This window comes from Homo sapiens, chromosome 1, assembly GCF_000001405.40.
Source record: "Homo sapiens chromosome 1, GRCh38.p14 Primary Assembly".
In the NCBI taxonomy this organism is placed as follows: Eukaryota; Metazoa; Chordata; class Mammalia; order Primates; family Hominidae; genus Homo; species Homo sapiens.
In genome coordinates this window covers 46,361,478-46,374,758 of record NC_000001.11, presented here as the reverse complement: position 1 = coordinate 46,374,758, position 13,281 = coordinate 46,361,478, and the positions used below count along the sequence as shown (strand labels likewise).

The window sequence follows — 13,281 nt, the reverse complement described above, 5'->3', positions numbered from 1 at the left end:
CCAAGTAGCTGGGACTAAGTGCCCCAAGCCCATCGGCTCTTAAAATCTATTCTGTTAGTAATTTTCAAGAATACAATATTGTCATTAACTAGTCACCATGTTATACAATAGATCCCCTTTTATTTTATTTTATTATTTTTAATTTTTTTTGAGACAGAGTCTCCCTCTGTTGTCCAGGCTGGAGTGCAGTGGCGCCCTCTCAGCTCACTACAACCTCTGCCTCCTGGATTCAAGCAATTCTCCTGCCTCAGCCTCCTAAGTAGCTGGGATTACAGGAGCTCACCACCATGCCCAGCTAATTTTTTATGTTTTTGGTAGAGATGGGGTTTCATCATGTTGGCCAGGCTGATCTCGAACTCCTGACCTCATGACCTGCCTGCCTCAGACTCCCAAAATGCTGGGATTACAGGCATGAGCCACCGTGCCTGGCCACAACAGATCTCTATTTTTTTTTTTTTTTTTTTTTTTTGGTGAGACAGAGATTTACTCTTGTTGCCCAGGTTGGAGTGCAATGGTGCGATCTCGGCTCACCACATCCTCCGCCTCCCAGGTTCAAGCGATTCTCCTGCCTCAGCCTCCCGAGTAGCTGGGATTACAGGCATGTGTCACCACGCCCAGCTATTTTTGTATTTTTAGTAGAGATGGGGTTTCACCGTGTTGCGCAAGCTGATCTCAAACTCCTGACCTCAGGTAATCCACCCGCCTCGGCCTTCCAAAGTGCTGGGATTACAGGTGTGAGCCACTGCGCCCGGCTAGATCTCTTAAAATTATTTCTAACGGTAATTTTGTATCCTTTGACCAACATCTCCCCACCCCCATCCATCCCCATCCCCCAACGCCTTACCCCACACCTCTGGTAACCACCATTCTATTCTCTACTTCCACTTCCACTTTTTCAGATTCCTCTTTGCTGTGTCCTGTGTGTTTGTTCCCTCTGAAACTCATGTTGAAACTTTATCCCCAATGTAACAGTATTAAGGGGTGGGGCCTTGAAGAGGAGATTAGGTCATAAGGAGTCTGCCTTCGTGAGTGGATTAATTCATTCATGGATTAATTGGTTAATGGATTCATGGGTTATCATGGTAATGGATTATTGGTGATGGCCTCCTGGGCCTGATCTGAGGGCAGCCTCCAGCTTTTATCAAGTTATCACAAGAGTGGGTGTTATAAAAGCCAGATTGGCTCATGCTCTAGCCCCCTTGCCATTTGATGTCCTGTACCACCTTGGGACTCTGCAGACAATCCCCACCAGCAAGAAGGCCCTCACTAGGTGGGACCCCTTAACCTTGGACTTCCCAGCCACCAGAACTGAAAGAAATAAATTTCTTTTCCTTATAAATTAACCAGCTTCAGGTAGTCACTCATAGCAACAGAAAACAGACTAAGACACAAGATTGGTGTTGAGGAGTGGGGTTGTTGCTAAAAATGAACACCTGAAAATGCGGAAGCAGCTTTGAAACTGGATAATGGGCAGAGGCTGGAAGAATTTGGAGGAGCAGGTTGGCTAGGAGCATGGTCTGTATTGACATGACTGGAGCATTAAGGGCAGTGCTGGTGAAGGATCAGAAGACAAAAAGATTAGGGAAAGTCTGGAATTTCTCAGAGATTATTTAAGTGGTTGTGACCAGAATGCTGATAGAAATATGGACAGTAAAGGCCATTCTAATGAGGTCTCAGATGGACCTGAAGAACAAGGTAATGGAAGCTAAAGGCCATCCTTGTTAGAAATGGGCAAAGAGGCTGAATGCAGTGGCTCACACCTGTAATCCCAGCACTTTGGGAGGCCGAGGCAGGCGGATCACTTGAGGTCAGGAGTTCGAGACCAACCTGGCCAACATGGCGAAACCGTCTCTACTAAAAATACAAAAATTAACTGGGCGTGGTGGCACGTGCCTGAAGTCCCAGCTACTTCGGAGGCTGAGGTGGGAGAATTGCTTGAACCTGGGAGGCAGAGGTTGCATTGAACTGAGATCATGTCATTGCACTCCAGCCTGGCAACAGATTGAGATTCTGTCTCAAAACAACAACAACAAAACAAAACAAAACAAAAAACTGTCAAAGAACTTGATAGATTGTGTCCATGCCTCAGGGCTCTATGGAATGCAGAATTGAAGAGCAGTGAGTTAGGCCATCTGGTGGGAGAAATTAGGAATATCTAAGCAGCAAAGCATTCAGGTTGCTGCATGACTACTTTTAACTACCTATATTAAGTTGTGAGAAGGGGAAAATGACTTAAAGATGGAATTTATAATCAAAAGGGAAGTAAAGTGGAAAGATTTGGAAGACTCAGCCTGGCCATGTAAATAGTAAAAAGGCGGCCAGGTGCAGTGGCTCACGCCTGTAACCCCAGCATTTTGGGAGGCCAAGACGTGTGGATCACGAGGTCAGGAGAGCGAGACCATCCTGGCTAACACAATGAAACCCCATCTCTACTAAAAATACAAAAAAAAACCAGCCGGGCGTGGTGGTGGGCACCTGTAGTCCCAGCAACTTGGGAGGCTGAGGCAGGAGAATGGCATGAACCTGGGAGGCGGAACTTACAGTGAGCCGAGATCGCGCCACTGCACTCCAGCCTGGGTGACAGAGCGAGACTCCATCTCAAAAAAAAAAAAAAACAGTAAAAAGGCATGTTTGGGAGAGGAAACCAAGGGTATGGCCCAGCAACCAGTTTGCTAAAGAGACTAGTACAGAGAGAAGGGATTATCAAGACAAGGAAAGAAGGACTCTGATAGAGTTTGGATATTTGTCCCCACCCAAATCTCATGTTGAGATGTAAACCCCGCTACTGGAGGTGGGACCTGGTGGGAGGTGTTTGAATCATAGGGGCGGATCCCTCATGAATGGTTTGGGCCATCTCCTCAATGATAAGCATACCCTTGCTCTCTGAGTTCACATGAGATCTGGTCATTTCAAAGTGTGTGGCACCCCCCGCCCACCTCCACCCCCACTTGCTTGCTCCTGCTTTTGCCATGTGACAAGCCTGTTCCCCCTTCACCTTCATCATGATTGAAAGCTCCCTGGTCAGGCGCGGTGGCTCACACCTGTAATCCCAGATTGTTGGGAGGCCGAGGCGGGGGGATCACGAAGTCAGGAGTTTGAGACAAGCCTGACCAACATGGTGAAACCCCGTCTCTACTAAAAATACAAAAATTAGGCTGAGCACGGTGGCTCACGCCCATAATCACAGAACTTTGGGAGGCCGAGGTGGGCGGATCACGAGGTCAGGAGATCAAGACCATCCTGGCTAACATGGTAAAACCCCGTCTCTACTAAAAATACAAAAAAATTAGCCAGGCGTGGAGGCAGGCACCTGTAGTCCCAGCTACTCGGGAGGCTGAGGCAGGAGAATGGCGTGAACCCAGGAGGTGGAGCTTGCAGTGAGCTAAGATCGCACCACTGCACTCCAGCTTGGGCGACAGAGCAAGACTCCATCTCAAAAAAAAAAAAAAAGTAAAAAAGAAAAATTAGCCAGGCGTGGTGACAGGCACCTGTAATCCCAGCTACTCGAAAGGCTGAGGCAGGATAATTGCTTGAACCTGGGAGTCAGTGAGCCACGATCAGACCACTGCACTCCAGCCTGGGCAACAAAGCAAGACTCTGTCTCAAAAAAAAAAAAAAAAAAATCAAGGTGGCAATGTTATGCTGGTGGTTAAGGACAGAGCCTCTCCTACCACAGTGCCACTGACTTGCTATGTGACCCTGGGCAAGTCACTTAACTCTAATATGCCTCAGTTTTCTTCTGTTAAAATGGGGATAATAATACTGAGCTACCTCAAAGGGCAGTTTTGAGGCATGACTAATGCTTTTTATAAAGCATTTTGGGATCCTTCAGCAAAGGAATTCTCAAGACCTGAGTATTTTTTATAATAACAATGTCCACCATGAACTTGATCTGTCTGTGTGTCCCGGAAGCTATCATTAGTCTATATGGTTCTCTAAGAGACTGAATGAATCCATTGGAGAAGTGGTGGATAACTAGCCGGAGAAAATTTGAGAATGCTTAAACTCATTCCCATGGAAACATACACAGGACACCTTTTCTTTGATGAGGTGGGATTTTTCCCTTTTTATGTGGCATACTAGTAATTTGTGACCTAAGAATAATTTTGGAATAATTTCTATTAATATCAACTCTGAAGTTAGTTATACTGATCTGAGATTGTGTTTGTTCATAACAAAAGTGAAATGAATCTGGAAAAAAAAAAAAAAAAAAAGACAGCACCTCTGTGCACATTTCATTGGCTAAAGCAAGTCACGTGGCTATGCCTACCTGCAGAGGGAGTGGGGAAGGCAAGCCTACTACATGTCCAAGAGAAGGAGTAACTAAGTACTCCTTTGTGAGAAGTCCTAAGGCTTATCATACCCACAAATTGACTTCATGACCACTAATGATTCATGGTTGTGAGCGATAATTCAGAAAACACTCATTGAAAGGTTTCGTATGCTAACCTACAGTCTGGCTCACTACAACTTCCTTCTACTGGTCCCAGCTCTGCCCCTGGGGATACTCAAAACACATCTGCTTCCCCTGCCTCAGAACAGTCCTAGTTGGAGACAACATCTCTCTTCCCTAAGTCTGTCTTTCTCCTGGCGAAATACTCCCAATTCCCCCAGTTCTCCCCAGAATGAGACTTTCAGTTTCCTCTCCATCCCAGTCACCCTCTTCAGCCAGTACACCTCCTAAAGTGTCACCTCAAAATATGGTCTGAACAGCTTGGAGCTCAAAAGTTCCCATTTACTCAGAGAGATAAGGCTGAGTAAACTTAAGGACAGGACTGACTTTCAGAAGCAATTTCTGTAGAGCCAGTTATTTAACTTCCTCATTCAGTAAATTCTGATAATCATATTCCCACTGGGGGGCCCATGAAATCTGATCAGATCATTTTCCACCTTAAAACTCCGACAATGGCTTCCAGTTACTCAGGATGGAATACCTATTCCTTCAAGTGGCCCAGAAAGCCCTGTTGTAGGTTGGCTTCTGCCTGCTTCTCCAGCCTTGTGTTTCACAACCATTCCTTTCTCCTTACACTGCAGGATACTGGACCTCTTTCAGAATCTAGAATGTCCTCTTTCCTGACTTCACATTCACACGAACTGTTCCCTCTGCTAGGGCACTCCCAACATCCTCCTCTGCCTCACTAATTTAACTCCTCTTTATCTTCAGCTCTGTTTAAACATCTCTTCCTCCAGGCGAGGTTAGGTCCCTCAGGTATATGCACTTTACATTTCTCTCAGTACTTGGCTCACTCATAATTTACTTATAACTAATTGTAATTGCTTGTAATTTACTTGTAATTACTTGTCTATCTTGCCCACTAGATTGTACATCCCATGAGAACAAGGACTTTTTTCTGCTCTGTTCACCACTCTAGCGTCTACAGTTAAGCCTAGCACATAGGAGGTACTCAAATATATACTAACTACCAAATAGGTACTAAGCATGTTGGTACTTGGGGGTTAGGGATGCAAAAATAAATACCAGCTTACTGTCCCTAACAATTCCTAGTTTGGAGATGGGTAAAGAAGAAAAAGTGGCCATGGAAAGTGCTATATTCATTGTATTATAGAGAAGGTTGGGGAGCACAGAAGAGGATCAACCCAGCTTTAGAAGGATTAGAGAAAGCTTCCAGAGGGGTGGACATTTGAGCTAGCAAGAAAGCACAAGGGAAAAGGCATTTAGACAGAGGAGACAATTTGTCCTGACCCAGAAGCATTGGGGTATGCTATGCATGGATAGACAAAGAATTTGTGCAAAAGGGGAGCAGCAAGGCATGACAGACACAGATAAAACAGCATCAACAACCAGGGATCAGGGCAAAAGTCTGGACTTGATCCTGCTGGCAATGGAGAGAGAACAAAGGATCTTTCTGTAAAAATGGGTTCTCCCTATGTTGCTCAGGCTGGTCTCAAACTTCTGGCTTCAAGCGACCCTCCTGCCTTGGCCTCCAAAAGTGCCGGGATTACAGGCATGAACCACCATGCCCAGCCTAAAGAACAAAGAATTATAAGCAGATGAATGACACTCAGATTTGTGTTACTTACTAACACAAATGACATATGTTAAAATTTTATTTAAATTTACTTAACCATTTCCAAAACTTACTGGCTTAAAACAACCACTACTTTATTTGTTCATGATTCTGGAGGTCAGCGATTTAGGTTGGTCTTGGCTGGGGTCACTCATGCTGTTTGGGTCACCTAACCGTTTAACTGAGCTTAGGAGGTCTAAGACAGCTTCCAGCACATGTCTCCAGCAGATTGGTCCAGGCTTCTTCACAGAGCCGCAGAAGAGCTCCAAAATGAGCGTGGAAGTTGCGAGGCTTCTTGAGGCCTACATGCAGAAGTTGCACAGCATCCCTTCCACCAGACTTTACTGGTCAAAACAAATCATAAGATCAGCCCAGATTCAAGAGGTGGGGAAACAGACTCCATCTCTTAATGACAGAAGCAGCAAAGTCACATTGTACTGGGACAGGATGGGAGGAATTATTGTGATCGGCGATCACACAACAGATAAGGGGTGGCATGAGAGGATGGGGGAGAATGGAAGAATTTAGGGCTGATTGGAGTAATAGAAATGAGTTTTGAGGCTACTGCCTTTGATCAGTGAGAAATGATAAGGCCCTACCTAAGGTAGGAATGCTAGGAAGGAGAGAAATATAAGCGACATTTCAAGAAAGGAATTTCAGATTGTGGCTGGGCGCAGTGGCTCATGCCTGTAATCCTAGCACTTTGGGAGGCCAAGGCAGGCTGATCACTTGAGCTCAAGAGTTCAAGACCAGCCTGGGCAACATGGCGAAACCCCATCTCTACTAAAAATACAGAAATTAGCCAGGCGCGGTGGCATGTGCCTGTAGTCCCAGCTACTCAGTAGGCTGAGGCAGGAGGATCACTTGAGCCTGGGAGGCGGAGGTTGCAGTGAGCCGAGATCACACCACGGCACTCCACCCTGGTGAGAGCCAGACCCTGTCTTAAAAAAAAAAAAAAAAAAAAAAGAAATTTCAGATTGTAACTTTTTGAGTTACTTAAGCAATCTAAGCTTGTTTCCTTCTCTATAAAATGGGACTAAAAAGAGTATATCAGCTGACTCTGGATTTGCTGCCTATGAGTTAGCCTTACTCTGCAAGGAGCAGTACTGTTCAATAAAAGATTGCTGTCTAACACCACTAGCTTGCCCTTGAATTCTTTCCTGGCTTTCTCCCAGGCTAAGCCCCAGTTTTGAGGCTTGCCTGCCCTGCAATAAAAACACACCATAAAAATAGTGCAAAGAAAAGCCACAAAATGGATGAAAATGTTCAAATTAACGAATAACTCTTTCAAAGTTTTATAATAAATAGGCAACAACAAAAAAGAGCATATCCCAGGGTTTCTGTGAAAGTAAGAAACAATGATGTAAGTAAAACAATGCTTTTTTCACATGGGCCTGGCTCAGGTACGTTCGATATACAGTAGTGATTACTGTCACTGCATCAAGGATAGCTGCAGTTTCTGGCATGGGCAGCAGGGTAAAGGGTGGTGTTAAGTTTGGAGATGAAGAATGCAGATGGGAAGAAGGGCAGATTGGCAGGGGTGAGAGTGGTGATTTGAGTTGTTACTGGGGTCTCTGCTTGACCCCCTTGCCTTCCACTAAAGACCCTCAAATCTGAGATCTTCTAATCCAAAGGTTCTTAACTTGGGGGAGATAGGCCTTAGGAAGTACCAAAGCCCCTGAAATTATATGTAAAATGCTATGGTGTTTTTTGTCTTTATTTTTCTGAGAACGGCCAAAGCTTTTACCAGTCTCTCAAACAGATTTGTGACTCCTAAAAGGTGAAAACCATAGATCCAAGCTATCAATGTATATTGACCCATAACTGCCCCAATACCTGACCCTCTGCTGTGGTTCAACTGTTGCAAATCACAAGGAAAGAGGAGCTCATGAACAAGACTGAGGCAATACTGCTAAGCTTCCAGGTCTCTCAATATGATCCCTCCTACATTAAGCCATATTTTGCATTATTATTCTCTGTGGGCTTGGTTCTCTACCCACTTTTTTTTTTTTTTTTTTTTTTTTTGTATTTTTAGTAGAGATGGGGTTTCACCATGTTGGCCAGCCTGGTCTCGAACTCCTGACCTCAGGTGATCCACCTGCCTTGGCCTCCCAAAGTACTGGGATTACAGGCATGAGCCACCATGCCACCATGCCCAGCCAACCCCCTTCTCTTTTTTTAGGGAGACCTCAGATGTACAAAATTGAATTAATCATAATCTTTGTTTATAACATACTTTTATCACTTTTGTCATGAATAACAAATTTTTATGTATAACTTTTTATTAACTTAGCTGCTTTTAATAATTCAATAAGCACCAAACATAAAAGCTAGAGCCTTAACAATAATCTAACTTTATGTTCCCTCCAGCCCCATCCTATCCCCCTACCTCTAAGAACCATTATACTGAATTCCATAGTGAGAACCATTCTTTCCTTCTTACATGGTTTTACTGCATACATGTTCTTTTTACATGTTTTTAAATTCTTAATTGTATTTAATTTTATAGCATCACTACTCATTAGAGAAATGCAAATTAGGACCACAACGAGGTATCAAGATACATCCACTAGAATGAAGTTTTTATTTATTATTTATTTTTGAGACAGAGTCTCCCTCTGTTGCCCAGGCTGGAGTACAGTGGTGCAATCCCAGCTCACTGCAACCTCTACCTCCTGGGTGCAAGTGATTCTCATGCCTTAGTCTCCCAAGTAGCTGGAATCACAGGTATGTGCCACCACACCCGGCTAATTTTTGCATTTTTAGTACAGACGGGGTTTTCCCATGTTAGCCAGGCTGGTCTTGAACTCCTGACCTTAAGTGATCCGCCCGCCTCGGCCTCCCAAAGTACTGGGATTACAGACATAAGCCACACTGCCCGGCCCACTACAATAAAGTTTAACGTTGATAATCCTAAGTGTTAGTACTAAGATGTGGAGCAAATGGACCTCTCATACATTGCTGATGGCCGTGCAAAATGGTAGATCCACTTTGGAAAACAGTATGGTGGTACCTTATAAAGTTAAACATACATTTACCATATGACCTAGCAATTCTACCCCTAAGTATTTACTCAGAAGAAAACATGGGCTGGGCACAGTGGTTCACACCTGTAATCCTAGCACTTTGGGAGGCCGAGGTAGGTGGATCATCTGAGGTCAGGAGTTCGAGACCAGCCTGGCCAACATGGCGAAACCCCGTTTCTACTAAAAATACAAAGAAATTAACCAGGCATGGTGGTGGGTGCCTGTAATCCCAGCTACTCAGGAAGCTGCAGCAGAAGAATCGCTTGAACCTGGGAGGCGGGGGTTGCAGTGAGCTGAGATTGCACCATTGCACTCCAGCCTGGGCAAAAGAGTGAGACTCCATCTCAAAAAATAAAAAAAGAAAAGAAAACACGTACTCACAAAATTATATGCCCAAAAGGTATTGGCAGCATTACTAATAATAGCCCCAAACTGGAAGCAACTCAAATGTCCATCAACTGGTGAACAGATAAACAACATGGTGGTATGTCTGCACCATGGAATACAATTCAGCAATAAAAAGGAACAAAACATTAATACTCACAACAAACTGAATCTCAAAAACATTACACTAAGTCAAAGAAGTCAAACACCAAAGACTACATATTGTATGATTCCATGTATATATGCAAAAATTTTCCAAGACCAAATATTTGAAAGGATTATCCAGGCTTCACAGAGCATAATCACTTAAGATTTTTATTTAAAGGCAAAGGATACAGGGCAGCAAGAGAAAGACTAGGTAGGTAAACATCAGGAATCTCAGAATTCCCAAATACAAGCTCCCCATGGTCCTTATGCACATGTGGACTGCACTGCAAAGTGCCTTTGGATTGAATCATCATGATCTATGTGAGGCATCCATCCTGGTTTTGGAAGAGCTCAAATCAGAAGTTCCCAGCAGGGCTTTTATGTTGCTCTGGCCATGTAATCAAGCCAGACATACGTAACTGGTTAGACCAGCTGCAAATAATCAATAAAAGGAGTGACCAGTGGAGCTTCAGACTTTATTTATTTATTTACTTATTTATCGAAATGAAGTCTCTTGCTGTCGCCCACGCTGGAGTGCAATGGCGCTATCTTGGCTCACTGAAACCTCCACCTCCCAGGTTCAAGCAGTTCTCCCGCTCCAGCCTACTGAGTAGCTGAGATTACAGGCACCTGCCATCATGCCCTTTTGTACTTTTATAGAGATGGGGTTTCACCACGTTGGCCAGGCTGGTCTTGAACTCCTCCTGACCTCAGGTGATCCACCTGCCTCAGCCTTCCAAAGTTTTGGGATTACAGGCGTGAGCCACCGCACCTGGCCGAGCTTCAGACTTTAAACAGCACATTATAAATCCCAATGCCTTTTTTTTTTTTTTTTTTTTTGAGACAGAGTCTCACTCTGTCACCCTGGCTGGAGTGCAGTGGCACAAAACGGAGTCTCACTCTCTTGCCCAGGCTGCTCACTGCAGCCTCAAACTCCTGTGCTCAAGTGATCCTCCTGCCTCAGCCTCCTGAGTAGCTGGGACCACAGGCACATGCCAGCGCACCCAGCTAATTTTTTTTTTTTTTTTTTTGGTAAAGACCAGGTCTCACTACATTGTCCAAGCTGATCTAGAATTCCTGGGATCAAGTGATCTTCCCACCTTGGCCTCCCAAAGTGTTGAGATTACAGGCGTGAGCCACTGTGCCTAGCCTATTTTCTATTTTCTACATCTTGATGGTGACTATACTATTATATACAATTATCAAAATTTATTAAACAATATATTTAAAATTTATGAACTATATTGTATGTAAAGAATAACTCCATAGAAAAGAAAAAACCTTTCATTTAGAAAGGGCATCATGCTACATTTACTCTTCTGGGATTAAACTTTTTTCACTTAATTATTTTATTGCTCAGATTCATCCATATGGTTAGGTATCATTATAGTTCATTTGACAATTGTATAATGTTCTATTATGTGAATATTCCAGTTTACTTGTCCACTCTCTTGCTCATGGGCATCTGGGTTATTTCTAGGCTTTTGCTTTTGTGAATAGGGTTGCTATGAATATTCTTGTACACATCTCCTGGTGTACATGTATGAGTTTCTCTAGGATTTATCCCCAGTATTGGATTAACTGGGTTATAGGGTAGCTGAATGTTCAATTACAGCAGATAAACTGTTTTCCAAAGTAGTTCTCTGCTTTTCTTATCTAGGTCTGCCTGTCCCCAATTAGATGATGACTCTAGAGGCAGGGGACCCTCTCATTTTGAATTACCACTGCTTAGCATTCAATTAGCACTAGGCTGGATATCCAGGAGTCCAAGGGCAGAAGCCCAGGCACCTGAGGCCTCTTAGCCTCAGCGAATACTAAGTACTATACAGAGTGAACAGCATGCAGGGACCATATGCCACGCACGGAGGCGGTTACGGTCCTACTCAGAGCACTAGCCATGCTCCTTAAAGCTCCATCTTCCTAGCTTCACCTGATTTTGAGTCTCAGAGATCTTCCAGGGCCCTCAATTACAATGCAAATCCCAAAAGAAGGCTTAACCTCAGCTAAAGTCCCTCCTCAACTGACACCTCTAATACCCAAATAAGGATGAGCAGGAAAGACAGAAGGGACAAAAAGAGTGGCAGGAAGAGGAGGAATAAGGAAAGTGGAAAAGCCAAGAAGCCTTCAGGTATTCTAAAATTATATACCCTTTTCTGCACAGGATGTTTTCCAGGAAAAAAAAAAAAAGTTTAAAAATAAAATATCTGCAAGTGACCCTGAGCAATTTTTTATATCCCTGCCACTAAAGGTTACTTTCTTTTGGCTAAAGTTACAAAAACAACATATCGAGTATGCAGTCAGTAAATGATGAAATCTTGCCCTGAACACAGTGTGTGCAGTGAAGCCCTGTGATGCTGAGGGAAGAGTTAGGGATTAGGGGGTGGGCCAAAGAACAGGCACCAGAGCTCAGCTGCAGACTAGAAACAACAAAAAGTCTGGAATCCAACAAAACAAAACATCAGGAAATTCCTAGGTGTTCAGAAAGCAAAAGGAGAGTTACCATTCTAAAGGATGAGGAAGCCCAGTAATCTCCCACAATCCCAACTGCTACATCTCCAAGAGCTCCCTAGCTACCTGTCATACACGAGGTCTGGGAATACCTGCTAGATGAATGAACAAAGAACAAGGCACGCACAAGAGTATGACGGTTTTGTGGCAGAAGCAGCCTCCTAAGCCACATTTGGGCAGCAGTATTGTTGACAGCAGGAATGGCCAGAATTATTCAGCTCAGAGGGTTTTTCCAATGTGAGTAGGTAAGCAGATTATTTTGCACTGGCTTAACATTTTTAGTTACTTGTTCCTTAAATTAGATCATGAGCCATATGGAAAAACCAGGCGGGCTTAATTGAGCCTGTTGGCTGCTCAAGACTGGTCAGGTGGAACTCACTTCAAGGGTGACAGGGGCTCAGTAACTGGCTGGTACAAATGGAACTAATGGCATTTGCACTGACATGAAGTCCCCAACTGCAGCCCCAGGTCTATAGAGTTTCAACAACTTTATTGGCCAAATGCTTCTCCTATGTTTACAACTTAGTGTGAGCCTGCTCACTGGCTTCTCCTTCTAAGCCCCTAAGCGGGCAGCAAACTTTAGTACAGGCCTGGAGATGGGGTAGGGGTTAATGAGTGAGTTGGAAACCTGCTGATGCTCCACAATTGGACAGCAGGACAGCAAATCTTCTACTTCTTATTGCCGAAAACTGCAGAAAGACACGAACAGGATGGAGACAGGACCGAGAGTGCATCTCTGCCACTGGTCCCAGTTTCCAGTTTCTGGTGCATCCAACAGAGTATACCCTTTGTATTCTTGCTTCAGGGATTGGGTGATACTATGTCAGCCTACGCATTTTGCAGAAGTACATGGGGCCAAAATTGGCCATGAGGTTTGGTATTACCAGCTCCCCAACCTGACAGGATGAGAAGAAACAAAATGTGTCCATGAAAACCCTTCGGAAGTGAGTCAGATCTTCCACCTGTACCTGGATGCTGTATTGATTGGCCAGGAGCTCAATGGCACCTTGCACCACATACTCGTTCTGTAAGTGTGAGAGTGAGCAGGTAGAATAGACAACATGGCCTCCTGGTTTGGTGGCAAGGAGTCCAGCCCTGAAACCAGAAAGAGACAGAAGCAGTTACTAGTGAGCTTCCCAGCAGTAGAAGAGCAACATAAGGAGCTGGAAACATGGATAAGGGAAGGC

At 44.2% G+C, this 13,281-nt stretch overlaps 1 protein-coding gene across 22 annotated transcripts in view, besides 2 other annotated features; it reads right to left on the bottom strand.

Moving 5' to 3' along the window:
• Positions 1-13,281, bottom strand: part of NSUN4 (NOP2/Sun RNA methyltransferase 4) — a 44,393-nt gene that overhangs the window by 10,441 nt on the left and 20,671 nt on the right. For 15 of the 22 annotated variants that reach the window (NR_170618.1, NR_045789.2, NR_170617.1 and 12 more), the window contains one exon: positions 9,741-13,189. The exons of 1 other annotated variant lie outside the window; for it this stretch is intronic. Coding sequence is in view for 10 of the 21 variants with exons in the window: in NM_199044.4 (NP_950245.2) it covers positions 12,913-13,189 (277 nt within the window). In the remaining 11 variants the exon portion in view is untranslated. Of the gene's footprint in view, positions 1-5,540; positions 6,971-9,740; positions 13,190-13,281 lie in introns of those variants that run through there. 6 more of the 22 variants (NR_170620.1, NM_001387272.1, NM_001387266.1 and 3 more) reach the window with 5 other exon arrangements.
• Positions 2,532-2,696: a silencer, noted in NCBI's record as "fragment chr1:46837735-46837899 (GRCh37/hg19 assembly coordinates)". NCBI's record gives its function as "represses an EF-1alpha promoter that drives an FKBP-Casp9 reporter gene in an ReSE screen in K562 erythroleukemia cells {active_cell/tissue: K562}" and the evidence as "EXISTENCE:reporter gene assay evidence [ECO:0000049][PMID:32094911]".
• Positions 9,856-10,056: a silencer, noted in NCBI's record as "peak205 fragment used in MPRA reporter construct". NCBI's record gives its function as "represses an SCP1 promoter by STARR-seq MPRAs in K562 erythroleukemia cells {active_cell/tissue: K562}" and the evidence as "EXISTENCE:reporter gene assay evidence [ECO:0000049][PMID:32103011]".